We start from the raw sequence: 18,092 nt of genomic DNA, 5'->3' as shown, positions 1-18,092 counted from the left end.
TCTATGGCGTGTATATGTATGGTATATATATGGCGTGTATATGTATGGTGTATATATATGGTGTGTATATGTATGGTGTATATATATGGTGTGTATATATGGTATATATATGGTATATATATGGTGGGTATATATATGGTGTATATATATGGTGTGTATATATATGGTGTGTATATATATGGTATATATATGGTGTATATATATGGTGTGTATATATGGTGTATATATGGTGTGTATATATGGTATATATATGGTGTGTGTATATATGGTATATATATGGTGTATATATGGTATATATATGGTGTGTATATATGGTGTATATATATGGTGTGTATATATGGTGTATATATATGGTGTGTATATATACGGTGTATATGGTGTGTATATATACGGTATATATATGGTGTGTATATATACGGTGTGTATATATATGGTGTGTATATACGGTGTGTATATATATATGGTGTGTATATATACAGTGTATATATACGGTGTGTATATATATATGGTGTGTATATATATGGTGTGTATATATATGGTGTGTATATATATGGTGTGTATATATGGTGTGTATATACATGGGGTATATATATGGTGTGTATATATATGGTATATATATGGTGTATATATATGGTATATATATGGTGTGTATATATGGTATATATATGGTGTATATATGGTATGTATATATATGGTGTATATATATGGTATGTATATATATGGTGTTCCTTATATATGGTGTATATGTATATGGTGTATATATATATGGTGTATATGTATATGGTGTATATATATATGGTATATATATATGTGAGTGTGTGTGTGTATACGTTTATGCATATGTGTATACTGGGTCACAGGTGTAAAATCTATTTCTTTTAGTGAGTCATGGTCAAAATTATATCTGAAGGCCACTACTCTGTAAACAATAGATCCACAAAAGGATTTTAAGAAAGTATAAAATTTGTCTACTGAAAGTAAAATAAAGCAATTTTTCAAACTGCTGGGAGTTTCAAATTCAATTTAGTTGCTTTCTACCAGTAATTTTTAAGTAGAGTATAACAGAATTAAAATGAAAATAGAATTGTATCACAAGTAGTAATTTTAAAGGTTATTTTTCATTAAACCTTTGCAGTTTTTTTTTTAATTTAAATATACACATAAGCTCTGTGTCATAATGTATCAGGAATTTCTTAATTTTTACTTGGGTTGAAGTTAAACATTTTGAAAGCCAATAATAAAGAGTTATCAATTGGCTGAGGAAGAGATCAGTAAAAGGGAAAAAAGTAACAGACCACTCTAATAGGAGAAGAAAGAGAAAATGAGGGTGTGAATCAAAGTAAAGGAAATAAAAAAGAAATGTCAGATCCTTTTGGGAGGCCAAATGCGAGTGGATCACTTGAGGTCAGGCATTCGAGACCAGCCTTGCCAACATGTGAAACCCTGACTCTACTAAAAAAATACAAAAATTAGCCAGGGGTGGTGGCACGCACCTGTAATCCCAGCTACTCGGGAGGCTGAGGCATGAGAATTGCTTGAAGCGGGAGGTGGAGGTTTCAGTGAGCCAAGATCATGCCACTGCACTCCAGCCTGGGCTACAGAGCGAAACTCCATCACAAAATAATAATAATAAAAGAAAGGTGTTAGATCTATTTCGGAGGTAGAATAGAACAATCTAGATAACTGGTTAGAGTGGGAAAGGAGAAAAAGAGACCGACTGGCCGGGCACGGTGGCTCAGACCTGTAATCCCAGCACTCTGGGAGGCTGAGGCAGGCAGATTACCTAGGGTCAGGAGTTCGAGAGCAGCCTGGCCAACATGGCGAAATCCCATCTCTATTAAAAATACAAAAATTAGCTGGGCGTGGTGGTGTGCGCCTATGATCCCAGCTACTCAGGAGGCTGAGACAGAAGAATCGCTTGAACCTGGGAGGTGAAGGGTTGCAGTGAGCCAAGATCACGCCATTGCACTCCAGCCTAGGCGACAGAGCGAGACTTTGTCTCAAAAAAAAAAAAAAAAAGAAAAAGAAAAAGAGACTGACTGAAATCTTAAAAAAAAGTTTTTAAATAAAAAGTTAAGAAGAGAATTGCATTACAATTCCACATATCTACACTACAATGCTATGCACAAGCCATTACCATAGCATTCAAAGCATAATACAATTTTTCTCCTATTATATTTAAACTTTTATTCCACTGTACTCTCTCAAGGGCCCTGTGCACTAGGAAGATAATACCATTTCCACAAAAATTAATTAAAAGGTACCATTCATTGCCAGGCGCGGTGGCTCACGCCTGTAATCCCAGCACTTTGGGAGGCCGAGGAGGAAGGATCACGAGGTCAAGAAATCAAGACCATCCTGGCCAACATAGTGAAACCCCATCTCTACTAAAAAATATAAAAATTAGCTGGGCGTGGTGGCACTCGCCTGTAGTCCCAGCTACTTGGGAAGCTGAGGCAGAAGAATCGCTTGAACCCGGGAAGTGGAGGTTGCAGTGAGCCGAGATCACACCACTGCACTACAGCCTGGCGACAGAACAAGACTCCATCTCAAAATAAATAAATAAATAAATAAATAAATAAATAAATAAATAAATAAATAAATGGTACCATTATCTCCGCAGCACTTTAAAAGTTGTATGATTTCTGACACTAACTTTAATGTTAAATGTTATTCTATCACATAGATAAGGTTCTTAAAAAACAATGTCAAAACAAAAATATTAGGTTATTTCCTATTCACTTGTTAAAATTTCAAAAACAGCTTCATGATAAAAAGATTTTGATCTCAATGACCATACAAAAGGAAGATATTCAGGAATCCTAATATTAACTAGAGGATATGATTTCCTGTTAGTGTGAGGGTTGTGTTCTTTTTTTCCAAATTCCCTGAGAAATTAATCAGATTTATGTGCTAACCAAACACAAACAAATACAAACAAATAGTTATATTCTTTTTAATTACTAATGATGACAAATGTGGAGAATTACTACATGATTCCAAAGAACTACTAAATCTAACTGAAATTTCATTTCTTCTACCACCAGCAATAAAGCATTGCAGTGTCCCCTAAGTCTAAGTAGAGAACAGTTCCACTCCAGATACCTGGATTAGCTTTCTTCATCAAGGAGGAACTAAAAGACAGTAAAATATTCCTAAATTTTCATATGGTCACTACTTAATGCAGTGATTAATAATAATTTCTTCTAAATCCATGCTTTGGCAGCCACCCTAAAACCCAACTGATGTGAGTGAACAACTAAGCTTACCATCTGCCTACCTACCTGTCTGTCTATATAGAGAGAGAAAGCAACCTATAGTCACTTAAGTGACATAATGTATGAAAGAATTCCTATACCGTGGCTGTTCAATAAATAAGAAAGCTAACAATGGTTTAATTAAAACACTACAATTGCATCCTCACTTCATCACTGATAGGTTCTTAGAAACTGCAGCCTTAAGAAAACAACATAGAATAGGTCCTCAAATAACATCATTTCATTGTAACACTGATAAGAAAAAAATTGGGTTTCGTTATATGTTGTTTCATATTTCTGCATTTGTCTTGAAAGAAGATTTAAAAATCTGTCAAAAAGAAAAGGCCTTCAACCTTAAGGAGGTATTTGTTGATACAAATATCTCTAAATAAATGCATACACAGAAGTATCAAAGCTCATTTCTCTATTGCCTGAGATAACCTCCAGAATGCATGCAAGTACATGAATATCCATAAATACTGAACTACCCAAAATAAACACTGTATTAAGTCCCTTAAGATGGCTATAACACCCTAATTCCTCCTCAAAGAACTTCATTCTCCTACTGAAACAATTTTTCTGAAGCATCCAGGAAGAAAAACAGAAGTGGGAATGTAGCATAGTAGTTAAATAGACTTAGGGGTCAAAAGCTTGGGTTTGTATCACTTGGTAGGCTCTGTGACTTGGGAAAGTTACCTAAAACCCTCCACATCTCAATGTTCTCATATGTGAAAATGTTAGCTATAATTATATTTAGGGGGATAGGGATATATACAGATGTATTTTAGATATATATAATATACAAAAACTTAACAGTGATTATTACCTTTGGTAGTAAAAGTAAGGATTGGTTTTTCTTCATATTTTCTAATAGTCTCCAAATTTTCTATAGTAAACATATATTAATCATATTTAGGGGAAAAGTGATTATTTAAAAATTATCTAGAAGCCAAAATGCCCAACATACAATCAAAACTCACCCATCATACCAAGAACCAAGAAAGTCACAACTTGGATGAGAAAAAGAAAATAAACATGTTAATGTTGATGTGTATTAGATGTTGGAAAGGTTTTTAATTTTCAATCAGCTATCATTAAAAACACTTCAACAATCAATTACAAATTCTTTTAAAACAGATTTAAAAAATAGAAAATTTCAGCTAAGAAAAAGGTTGTAAAACCAACCAAATGATGATAAAACAAGCTACAATAACAACCAAAAAAAAAAAAAACACAAAAAAAAAACAAAACTTACTAGATAGGTGAGGAAATGTTGATCAAAGGAGATAAATTTCAGTTAAGAGGAATAAGTTCAAGAGATCTATGGTACAAACATGGTGTCCATAGTTTATAATAATAATTTACTGCATACTTTAAATTGCTACGATTGTGTTTTCAGCACACACAAAAAAAATGCTGAGTACGTAAGGTAACGCAGGTTAATTAGCTCAGTTTAGTCATTCCACAATGTATACATATATCAAAATATCTGTTGTACACAACACACATACACAATTTTTGTCAATTTAAAAATTATTTTTTTCAACTTAATGGGCTCAATAGCAGATGACAGAAGACAGAATCTGTGAACTTGAGGACCAACAGATCAATAGAATTTACCCCATCTGAACAACAGGAAGAAAAATGACTAAAAAGAAGTTAAAAGTCTTGAGGATCTGTAAGACAGTAACGTAAGATCTAACTCCGTATCACTGGAGTCCCAAAGAAAAGAGCATGGAATTGAAAGGGTATTCAAAAATAATGGCTGAAAACATCCGTATTTGGAGAAAAACATAAACCTACAGATCCAGGAAGTGATCAAATCTCAAACAGGTAAACCCACAGAAACCCTGACATATCACTAAACTTCTGAAAACAAAGATAAAGATTTTGAAAGCAATTACAGAGAAAAGACACATTACCTTATAGGGGAACACCAATTCAAGTGGCAAGAGATTTATCATCTGAAACCACAAAGGACAGAAGAAAAGTGGCACAAAATTTTTCAACTTCTGAAAGAAAAGAATTGTCAACCATAAATCTTATTTGTGGTGAAACTATCTTTCAGGAATAATGGTGAAATAATGACATTTACAGGCAAAAGGAAAACGAATAAATTGTTACTAGCAGACATACCTTTAAAGAATAAGGAAATTCTTCAATAAAAGAAGGAATCTTGAAACACCAAGAAAGAAGAAAAAACAATAAGAAAAGCAGAAATGTAGATAAAAACAACAGACTATCCTTCTACTCCAGAGGTTTTCAAATCATAGTTGATGACTGAAATAAAACTTATAGGCAACAAAAGAAAAAAACAAGTAAGCTGGAATTCATCAAAATTAAATTAAATGCATCAAAAGACACTATCAACAAAACTAAAAAGTAGCCTGTGGAATGGGCAAAAATATTTGCTAATCATATAGCTGATGGGGGATTAATATCAAGAACATATAAAGAACTCCTACGAAAACAAAAAAACTCAACTCGAAAATAGGCAATAGGCTGGGGGCGGTGGCTCACACCTGTAATCCCAGCACTTTGGGAGGCTGAGACTGGTGGATTACTTGAGGTCAGGAGTTCAAGACCATCCTGGCCAACATGGTGAAACCCCATCTCTACTAAAAACACAAAAATTTGCCGGGCGTGGTGGCATGCGCCTGTAATCCCAGCTAGCTGGGAGGTTGAAACAGGAGGATCGCTTAAACCCAGGAGGCGGAGGTTGCAGTGAGCCGAGATCGTGTCACTGCACTCCAGCCTGGGCAACAGAACAAGCCTCCGTCTCAAAAAAACAAAAACAAAAACAAAAATGGGCAACAGACATTTCTTCAAAAAAAAGATATATATATAAATGGCCAATAAGCACATGAAAAGATGCTCAACAGCACTAATCTTAGGAAAATGCAAATCAAAACCAGTTACTACTTCACACCCACTAGGATAGCTATTATTAAGAAAATAGAAAATAAAAAGTGTTGGCACTCGGGAAGCTGAGGCAGGATAATCACTTGAACTCAGGAGGCGGAGATTGCAGTAAGACGAGATTGCAGTGAGACGAGATTGCAGTGAGACGAGATCACGCCATTGCACTTCAGCCTGGGCAACAAGAGCGAAACTCCGTCTCAAAAAAAAAAAAAAAAGTGTTGGCAAGGATGCAGAGAAATTCTAACCCTTGTGCATTGCTGCTGGGACTATAAAATGGTGTGGTCACTGTGGAAAACAGTATGATGATTCCTTAAAAAATTAAAAACAGAATTACCATATGATTCAGCAATTCCATGCCTGGGTATATACCCAAAATGAAAGCAGGCACTGGAACAGATATTTATATACCATGTGCACACTGGGAACCATAGCCAAAAGATGCAAGCAACCCAAATGTTCAGTGGATAACTGGGTAAACAAAAGGTGATATATACATGCAATGGAACATTATTCAGCCTCAAAAAAAAAAAAAGAAATTAGCCAGGCGTGGTGGCAGGCGCCGGTAGTCCAGCTACTCGGGATGCTGAGGCAGGAGAATGGCATGAACTGGGGAGGTGGACTTTGCAGTCAGCCGAGATCGGACCACCATACTCCAGCCTGGGCGACAGAGTGAGACTCTGTCTCAAAAAAAAAGAAAGAAAGAAAATTCTGACACATGTTACAATATGGGTTGAACCTCTTGAAACTCAACAATTTAAAAAAATCCAATTTGAAAATGGGCCAAAGACACAGACATTTCACCAAAGAAGGTATACAGATGGAAAAAGCACATGAAAAGATTTTTCAAGCTGGGCGAGGTGGCTCACGCTTGTAATCCCAGCATTTTGGGAGGCTGAGGCAGGTGGATCACTTGAGGTCAGGAGTTCAGGACCGGCCTGGCCAACATGGTGAAACCCTGTCTCTACTAAAAATACAAGAATTAGCCAGGCGTGGTGGCAGGTGCCTGTAATTCTAGCTACTTGGGAGGCTGAGGCAGGAAAATCGCTTGAACCTGGAAGGTGGAAGTTGTAATGAGCCATTATTGTGCCACTGCATTCCAGCCTAGGCAACAGAGCAAGACACTGTCAAAAAAAAAAAGAAAGAAAGAAAAAGATTTTCCAACATCATTACTGTGATGGTTAATATTAGGTGTCAGCTTGACTGGACTGAGGGATGCCTTGATGGCTGGTGAAGCATTGTTTCTGGGTGTGTCTGTGAGGGTGTTTACAGAAGAGACTGGCATGTGAGTCAGTGAATGAGGAGAGTAAGACCCACTCTGGGTGGGCACCATCCAATGCAGTCGGCTGCCAGAACAAAGCAGGCAGTAAGAGAAACAGAGCCAGCGTGCTGAGTTCCCCATCCCCTTCTAGTGAGGGATATTTTGCTTTTGCCCTCAGGCATCAAACTCCAGGTTCTTTGGTCTCTGGACTCCAGGACTCAGGCTAGCAGCCTCCCTGGGGGTCTCAGGCCTTTGGCCTCAGACTGTCAGCTTTCCTGGCTTTGAGGCTTTCCAACTTGGATGTGGTACCAGCTTTTTTCATTGGCTAGCTTGCAGATGACCTATTGTGGGATTTTGACTTTGTAATGGCATGAGCCAATTCTCCCTAATAAACTCCCTTTTATATATGCATGTATCTTATTGATTCTCTCTGGAGAACCCTGACTAATATAATTAGACATTAGAAAAATGTTAATCAAAATCACAATGAGATATCAGTAAAAACAGAAAGGCTAAAATAAAAAATGATATCATCAAATGCTGGTTAAGACACAGAGAAACCGGATCTTTCACACATTGCTGGTGAGAATGTAAAAATATATAGCCATTATAGAAAATGCTGGCAATTTCTTATAAAAGTGAACATGCAACTATCATACAATCCAGTAATTGTACTCTCGGGGACTTAACTGACAGAAATGAAAACTTATGTTCACACAAAAACATATATACAAATGTTTATAGCAGCTTTTTTTTATAATACCCAAAACTAGAAATGACCCAAATGTTCCCCAATGGCTGAACGGTTAAACAAACTGTGGCACATCTACACCATGGACTACTATTCAGCAATGAAAAAAGGGCAAAATATTGATACTTCAACTTACACGAACTTGACAAATTATGCTGAGTGACAAATGCCAATCCCAAAAGGTTACATACTATTTGATTCCATTTTGAGGCAGGTTATCATTCTGTCACCCAGGCTGGAGTGCAATGGCACAATCATAACTCACTGCAGCCTCAACCTCATAGGCTCAGGTGATCCTCCCACCTCAGCCTCCTGAATAGCTGGGACTATGGTGTGCAACACCACGAACAGCTAATTTTTGTTTTTTTTGTAGAGACAAGGTTTCGCCATGTTGCCCAGGCTGGTCTTGAACTCCTGGGCTCAAGCGATCCAACTGCCTCAGCCTCACAAAGTGCTGAGATTACAGGAATGAGCCATTGCACCCAGCCCGCATAATCTTCTTTAAATGACCACAGGAAAAAAAAAAAAAAAAAAAAAAAAGAACAAATTAGCAGTTACCAGGGAATAAGGAAAGAGGAAGGAGACACTCTGGTTATAAAACACAGCATGAGAGATTCTAGTGGTGAAGAAACTCTTCTGTATCTCTAGTATGGTAATGATTATACAAATTTACATGTTACAATACTGCATAGAACTAAATACTAAATATATCACACACACATACATGCACACACACAAATGAATATATGTAAAACTGGTGAAATGTGAACAAAATAGGTGGATTACAGCGATGTCAATGTCCTGGTTTTGATACTGCACTATAGTTATGCAAGATGTTACCACTGAGGTAAAATGGATGAACAAGTACATCTCTAACTTATTACTTTTTCTTTTCTTTTTTTTTGAGACAGAGTCTCGCTCTGTCGCCCAGGCTGGAGTGCAGTGGCATGATCTCGGCTCACTGCAAACTCTGCCTCCCAGGTTCACGCCATTCTCCTGTCTCAGCCTCCCGAGTAGCAGGCACCCACCACCACGCCCAGCTAATTTTTTTTTTTTTTTGTATTTTTAGTAGAGACGGGGTTTCACCGTGTTAGCCAGGATGGTCTCGATCTCCTGACCCTGTGATCCACCCACCTCGGCCTCCCAAAGTGCTGGGATTACAGGAGTGAGCCACTGCGCCCGGCCCATCTGTCTTATTTCTTAAAACTGCATATGAATCTACAATTACCTCAAAATAAAAAGATTTAAAAATTAGAGAAATGAATCAACATTTAGATAGAAAAGAATATAGGTGAGATACGGTCTATCGTTACACAAGTGTCTAATATGAACCCAGTTTAGCAAGTTATTCCTACAAAAAACACTTAAAAGAGGTGAGGGAGATCTCTAAGTCTTTCCCTTAGCTTGAGACAGATGTATTAGCGAAATTTTTAAAGTAAAATGTTACAACAATGAACACACATTGAATACAGAAAATTTGCTGGAGTAACAGCTTATCCATAGGATATTCCATGGCTACCATGGTCATGTGTAGGATCTTTCCACACTATAATAATCAGACATGCATTTAAATATGCTTTCCATCTTTCAACAGAGGTACAATCAAAAAAGATAAAGGTCACTGACTAACAAAGAAAGAGGTAAAGTAAGGCAAGATTTTCTCTCCCACAGTGAAAGAAATTAAAAGAATGAGGACCTTATTTCTCAAGCAGCAGACATGCATTTAATCTGTTCCAAAATAATCCAAATCCATTTTTAAAGATGTAGAGTTACCCATGTATTAGTCAGTTTGGGCTGCTATGACGAAATACCAGAGTCTGGGTGGCTTAAACAACAGAAATTATTTTTTCACAGTTCTGCATGCTGGAAATTGAACTATCAAAGTGCTGGCAAGCTTGGTTTCTGGTCAGGCCTCTCTCCTTAGCTGACAAATGAAGGCCTCCTCACCATGTCCTCACATGACCTTTTCTTGATGCACTCATACTCCTGGTACCTCTTCTTATAAAGGTACCCGTCCTATAGGATTCACCAGCCACCCTTATGACCTCATTTAACCTTAATTACCTCTTTTAAAGGCTGTATCTCCAAATTCAGTTACATTGGTGGTTAAGGCTTCAACCTATGACTATGGGGGACAGGGGGGAACTATTAAGTCCAAAATGCCAGTTACTGCCAGCCCTGAAGTACGTTAAGTTTTATCTGGGTGCATATATGTGTGTACATTCTACGTAATGGAAAGGGGCAAGACAAAATAAAAAGCATAGTATTTACATTAAAATTCCAGCTCTATCACTCAGTTTCCTCAACAATGAGGATGATGCCCATTCTCACTATATCATTGTAAGAATTAAATAAGATAATCTATATAAAGTACCTGACATCTAGCAAATGATTAGCAAATACTGAGCCTTTGCTTCTAGTCCTCTCTAAAATTTAAAAAAAAATGAATTATAAATATTACTCAAATCTAAATATATGTGAAACAGTATGAGAATCGGATTCTGTCCCAGTTCTACCACTACCTAGTTATATGAACTTAGCTAGGGTGTAGGGTGGAGTGAAGCAAGTCACTCTACCTAAGGCTACTTCTGTATCTAAGCAGAGAAGCTTCCCTCTGTAACTAAAACTCTATGTTACACATAACAACTTGACTACAATTTGAAACACAAATGTTACAAAAGTTAATCACACTTTCTCACTGTAATAATCCTAAATGAATGATACTGAAATTTCCTTCAAGAGAATTATGGTATGAAATTTCAGTATCATTCTTTCATTTACTTTCATTCTTTCACTCTTTGGCAACTATCCTCTGAATTTGAAAAATTTACCTGCACAACGTATCTGTAGACTACTTTTATCATCTTATTTCCCTACCAGTAATGCCTCATCTTCCAACTAGACTGTAGAATTGTATATTTCTTTTTGTCCCCCATACTGTTCATTATTTTACTCACTAAATCACATAACCACTAAAACACCTAAAATCATCATACCCTAAATCCTGTAGAGATGTGACAAGACATACATAGTTATCAATAAGTTGTATCTAATAACAACAATTTTTAACGCAGCACAAAACTGAAATGTACTGCCAGTGATTTCAAGGTAACACAGAAATACCTGCATATTCAAACAATAAACAACATCCGTATTCAGTATTTTTGGTTTAAAATTAAGGTAATGGTAGCCAAAAAGCAACATCTATTGTGGAGAAATTTGACTCATTTAACAAAAGACAACTTAGCTTGCTGGGCCTGAAGGAAGAACTCATAAGTATTTGTCCTATCTCCCAGCCTGTCCCTCACTACTAGTATTCTATTATCTCGTATTACATGAAAATAAGTAATACACATGGTACTGTTACTTTGATGCCCTGAGGAAAGCTCAACTTGCTGTATTCATGCCATTTTATAGTCCCCTCCCATATTTAATGCACACTGGGTTATGTGACCAGCACTCACCATTGGAACATTAGCAAGGATGAGGAACACAGAAGCTTGATAAATACCGGCACACTAGGGCTTGGAAAGGTCTTTCACGGAACTGCCATAGCTGCCATGCTATGAAGAAGGCCAAGCTGGCTGGGCACAGTGGCTCATGCCTGTAATCGCAGCACTTTGGGAGGCCAAGGTGGCAGATCACGAGGTCAGGAGTTCGAGACCAGCCTGGCCAACATGGTGAAACCCCATCTCCATGAAAAATACAAAAATTAGCTGGACGTGGTGGCACGCACCTGTAATGCCAGCTACTTGGGAGGCTGAGACAGGAGAAATGCTTGAACCCGGAAGGCGGAGGTTGCAGTGAGCCATACCACTGCACTCCAGCCTGGGCGACAGGGCAAGACTCCATCTCAGGGGGGAAAAAAAAAAAGAAGGCCAACCTTCTTCAAGTGGAGAGACGACATGGGTAGGAAGAGAGAGGGAAATGCCCAGCCATCTACCAGCTGCTCCAGCCATCCCAGTTGAGGCACTAGATTTATGAGTTAAGAAGCCACAGTGGACATTATAGCCAACAGATCACATGTGGAGAAGTCACCATAAAGCCATACACAAATTTTAGAATCAAGGGCAAATACACAATTGTTTTAGCCACTATGTTTTGGAGTGCTTTATTATGCAGCAATAGATAACCAAAACAATACAAATAAACCAATTAGAACTGTTCCTGTTTGGCAGTAAGCAACAACAACAAAAAATGTCAGTGGTAACCATTGTTATAGTTAATAATCACTATAAAAAATCTTCTTCCCAAAAGGTACTTTTCTGGGTATTTAAGTGTTCTTAAAGGGACTCTGTTCATTTCACCAATGGCCAGTAAAGAGAGAGAAGTAAAGCAACCAGAAAGTCTACTCTTCGTTTTTCCTTTTCCCTTCCTAATTTATGGCTGTCCTTTTTAGCTTTGCCAGTAATGTTTGCCTGTTTTCCCCAGAGTGGCTAATCAATGATCCATACCGATTCTAGCATTCAACTGTGCTCTGTACCTCAGTCACTACAGACATCACCGTCAACTTCCCTCCAGACCACAGGTAACTAAAAGTTCTGTAGACCAGACTCTTCACTAAGGGTGAAAAGTTTAAACTCATCTAATTCATAATTATGTTTTCCTGATAGAATCATTAAGCGAAGAGCATCAGAACCAATAACCTCTTGCTCAGAAAATAAATTAAGTAGCAGGAAAAACATACCTGCTATTTTTCCTCAAAGAATTTACTGATCCTAATTACACAAATTTCTTTTTCTTTTAACCCTCATGACCTTTGCTCATACTTCACTCGTGATATTTATCTTAACCTAGCCTGAATCACAGTAATTGGTTTACTTAATTTCCTACTAGATCTAATACTCCCTTTTCTCCCATTGAGAAAAGGGGCATTTTACTCTTGCAACCCTTGAAGCACCTACTATATTTCTCTGCTACTTATACAAATACAGTAAAAAATATGAGTTCTGGTCATCAATCATTGTCCGTAACTAATCTTAGCAAGTCTCACCCCCATTTTTATTAAGAAACAATGGCTCACCCATATGTATAATGCAATCAGTGACAAAGTTAATGAATGCTACATGTTCTAACATTAACCTTCACCAATTATTTGACTTAATAAGAATGATTTTATTTTTGTAGAGACAGTAAAATGATTTTTTTAAAAAAGAAAGGTACTATTTACATTCCTTATTTTCTTTTCCTTAAAGTTTCAGACTTGAGAAGTCTGAATATTAGGTTCAGCATAAGATCCAGGCCAGATGCCAGGCAAATACTGCAATAGCAAAGGCAAAGCAGACCTGGTGGAGACTGCAAATGGAGACCTCAGTACCCACCTAAAAGGGTCAACCGCTACTCAGCTCTGGCAATCTAGTCTCAAGCAGGAATGGCCACCAGGTATAGCCAAGTCCTGTGGGTTTTCTAGAGATGCTAGAAGTTGAGACTTCTTAAATATGAAATCTTCCTATTGGCCGCGAGGTGGCTCACGCCTGTAATCCCAGCACTTTGGGAGGCCAAGGCAGGCGGATCACCTGAGGTTAGGAGTTCGAGACCAGCCTGGCCAACAGAGTGAAACCCCGTCTCTACTAAAAATACAAAAATTAGCCAGGCATGGTGGTGTGTACCTGTAACCCCGGCTACTGGGGAGGCAGAGGCAGGAGAATCACCTGAATCCGGGAGGCGGAGGTTGCAGTGAGCCAAGATCACACTACTGCACACCACCCTGGGTAACAGAGCAAGACTCCATCTCAAAAAAAAAAAAAAAGAAAAAGAAAAAGAAAAGAAATCTCTATTCTTAAATGGTGACAATTATCAAATATTCCAAATACTCTAAGGGCAAGCAGTATATATCTGTGGGTTGGATTCTCACCAATGGCCACTTGCTACTGCAGACTCACAGTTAAAAATCTCTACATATAACTGATGGTGCACTACACAAACAATATACCTTTACCACCACTGCCCCTCACCCTGCAGAAGAAAAAAAATGAGAACCATGAAAAGAAACTCCAAAAAATTATGGAGTACTAGTGACAAACTTCTTTAATTTAACCTTTTCTCTCTCGAAAAAGAAATCTGTTAACAGTTTTAGATATAGAAACTTTTATAGTAGAGAAATAGAGAGGAAGAATTTTTTTTATTTTTATAATTTTCTCAAAACTTTCAAAAATATTCAAATAAATAGTACAAATTACATAAACATTTCCAGCCTCAACCAAACTAATGAAAATGCTCAGTAATAAAAATGAGACTAATGATTCACCACGTACACAGAAAAACAAGGTACAAAATACTAATTAATAGTGTTAATTTATTTGCACTGGTGTATCTACATATTGTCATTTGACTCTTTTGTGATCAATAGCACAAAACTGGGAACAAAGTTGAACTAACTTCCTGACCATGGAACACTCGAGTAACAAGCCACTTGTGGACTCAATCCTGTGACCTAAACCCCCTTAATACCATGCTATCCATAACTAAGGGGACCAGTTACTCATAGTCAGTATTTAGTCCAACATTTCTTCAATACTTTTACAAAAGATAAATATTATTTGAAAATGTCTTTAAGGCTTTTCCTTCCACTTAAAAATATGAATATCTACATTCAGGAATAGGAATTTATAGAGAACACTTGAATTTCACCTCTAAAATTGCTTAACCTACTGCTAGAAGCCCTTATAAAGTTAAAATAAAATTCTTAATATAATTAATCGTGGTAGGCTTGATTTGGAGTTCAAAACATTCTGTAAAATAGTCATTTAACAAGGGAGATTCTCTAACCAAAAGAATTAGTAGACAATTTAGTGCTAGTAAAATATTACAGTTATGGGCACAGGGGACTACGTATTTATCGAACACTTACTATGCCCAAGTACTGTGACGAATACATCAAGGTATTCATTAAATCTTAAAAAAAAAAAAACAATCATATGAGGAAGGTACCATTCCTATCCCCATTTTACGGATGGGGAAACTGACCTTTCCAAGAATACCCAGCTAGTAAGTGGCAGAGTCAGGATTCCAACCCAAATCTTGTCTAACTTCAGAATCTGCACGCTTAACCACTACACTGCATTGCCTCCAGTGACTCTGGGTTGATAACTAAGATGAAATAAGAAGGAAATTTGTACTTCTCAGTGGCAAATTTTAAAAACATATTATAAATGGAGGGTATTTTTTAGAACATGAACAAGTTTCATATACATAGTCATACAATTTTTATTTCCAAATACATGTAGTAATGGTGAAAATCCCACACAATGAATTTCTCACAATTTTTCATAAGTACTCAATCATGGTGTTTTTTTTTTTTTTAGACAGGGTTTCGTTCTTGCTGCCCAGGCTAGAGTGCAACGGCAGATCTCGGCTCACTGCAACCGCCCCCTCCCTGGTTCAAGCAATTCTGCCTCAACCTCCAGAGTAGCTGGGATTACAGGCGCCCGCCAACACGACCGGCTGATTTTTTTTTTTTAGTAGAGACGGGGTTTCACCGTGTTGGCCAAGCTAGTCTCGAACTCTGACCTCAAGTGATCCACTCGCCTTGGCCTCCCAAATTGCTGGGATTAGAGGCGTGAAGCACCACCCCCAGCCCAATCGTGTTTATTACTAAAAATTTAATGGGAACACCCTGTATTTTCCCCTCAATTTTGCTGAGAACCTAAAACTACTCTAAAAAACAGTCTATTGGGCCAGGCGCGGTGGCTCACACCTGTAATCCCAGCACTTCGGGAGGCAAGTGGATCACCTGAGGTCAGAGTTCGAGACCAGCCTGGCCAACATGGCAAAACCCTGTCTCTACTAAAAATATGAAAATTAGCCAGGCCTGGTTGCGGGCACCTGTAATCCTAGGTACTCAGGAGGCTGAGGCAGGAGAATCGCTTGAACCTGAAGGCGGGGAGGGGCGGGGCGGAGCTTGCAGTGAGCCGAAAACACGCCACTTCACTCCAGCCTGGGCGAAACAGCGAAACTCCATCTCTCAAAAAAAAAAAAAAAAAAAAAAAAAAAAAAAAGAAGTCTACTAAAAACAGTTTTTTTTAACTACAATATCCTAAATATACCTAATTTAGTTATAAACTAGCATAAGACTAGATTCTTTCAGTATGAAAAGTTGCATTGTTTTTCATAACCATTGTACCAAGCATGCTATTAGCATTTAATAAAAATTGAACTATTTTTTTCAAAAGCAGTGCTGTAATATTGTTTTTTTGTTTGTTTGTTTGTTTTGAGACGGGGTTAAGCTCTTATTGCCCAGGCTGGAGTGCAATGGCAGGATCTCGGCTCACTGCAACCTTCGCCTCCCGGGTTCAAGCGATTCTCCTGCCTCAGCCTCCTAAGAAGCTGGGATTACAGGCACCCGCCACCACGCCAGGCTAATTTCGTATTTTTAGTAGAGACGGGGTTTCTCCATCTCGGTCAGGCTGGTCTCAAACTCCGGACTTCAGGTGATCCACCCGCCTCGGCCTCCCGAAGTGCTGGGATTACAGGCGTGAGCCACCGCGCCCAGCAAAATTGGAATTAACACTCCCAGAATACTCCCAGGGACTCTGCATTACAAAGACATTAAAATATGAACCAAACTCTGACGAAAGACTTGAATCCTTTATTGAGGAATATAAAAAGTGGAATACTACATCCCGTTGGCTGGCATAAATATGACTAACTTTACTTTTCCCCTTTAAGTATCAAAAGATGTAGCCTTAAGTCAAAAATGGATTAGGGTAACAGAATCTTTTCCTAATTAGTTTCAGAACTTTCTAAATGCTCCAAAGAAGCTTATCCAAAAAAAAAAAAAAAAAAAAAAAAAAAAAAAAAAAAAGGCCGGGCACCGTGGCTTACGGCTGTAATCCCACCACTTTGGGAGGCTGAGGCCGGCGGATCACCTGAGGTCAGGAGTTCGACATCAGTTTGGCCATATGGCGAAATTTCGTCTCTATTAAAAATACAAAAATTAGCCAGACATGGTGGCATGCGCCTGTAATCCCAGCTACTAGAGAGGCTGAAGCAGGAGAATCTCTTGAACCCGGGAGGCGGAGGTTGCAGTGAGCCGAGATCACGCCACTGCACTCCAGCCTGGGCAACAAGGCGAGACTCCATCTCTGGGGTGGGGGGAAGGAAAAAAAAAAAAACCTCTGAATTGTCCAGAGTGACTGTCAACATATGAACCAAATCTTTTTTTCTTGATATTCAACAAAGTTGTCAAAATTCTTTTTTTTTTTTTTTTGAGACAGAGTCTCGCTCTGTCACCCAGGCTGGAGTGCAGCGGCACGATCTCGGCTCACTGCAACCTCCGCCTCCTGGGTTCAAGCGATTCTTCTGCCTCAGCCTCCCAAGTAGCTAGGATTATAGGCGCGTGCCACCGCGTCCGGCTTATTTTTGTATTTTTAGTAGAGACAGGGTTTCACCAGGTTGGCCAGGTTGGTCTCGAACTCCTGACCTCAGGTGATCCGCCCACCTCAGCCTCTCAAAGTGCTGGGATTACAGGTGTGAGCCACTGCGCCCGGCCGGTTGTTAAAATTCTAAGGGTCAATTAAGGGTTATATGAGAAATCTATAACAAGTTTTGCCTAATAACACTTCCCATCTCAACATTTTCATCAAGGTCCACCTTTAAGAATAAACACCTAAGTTCAATTAAGACAAGTGAGGAGGAGGTATTAACTTACATTTTAAAAAAGTCATTGTCCTGTATATTTTACAGACTGTAAAACTTAATTTTTAAATAGAATACTATACTGGCCACCAACAAAAAATGTTTAAGGGAAGCTCTATTGATTTTGTTTTGCCTCACTGTTGTACTTCCAAAGTCTCCACTATAAAAGCAGTGCGTTAATATTAAGTGGCAAGCCTATGGAAGAAGATACATTGTTGGAATATAGGCTCTTAATCACACCTATAATACACAGGATTCCTTTCCTTTC

General features: G+C 38.2%; 1 protein-coding gene across 2 annotated transcripts in view; it reads right to left on the bottom strand.

Moving 5' to 3' along the window:
* The window catches only part of RASA1 (RAS p21 protein activator 1), a 124,034-nt gene that overhangs the window by 104,279 nt on the left and 1,663 nt on the right, over window positions 1–18,092 (bottom strand). The gene's annotated exons all lie outside the window — the stretch shown is intronic.

This window comes from Homo sapiens, chromosome 5 (assembly GCF_000001405.40).
Source record: "Homo sapiens chromosome 5, GRCh38.p14 Primary Assembly".
In the NCBI taxonomy this organism is placed as follows: Eukaryota; Metazoa; Chordata; class Mammalia; order Primates; family Hominidae; genus Homo; species Homo sapiens.
This window is presented reverse-complemented; position numbering and strand designations above follow the sequence as displayed.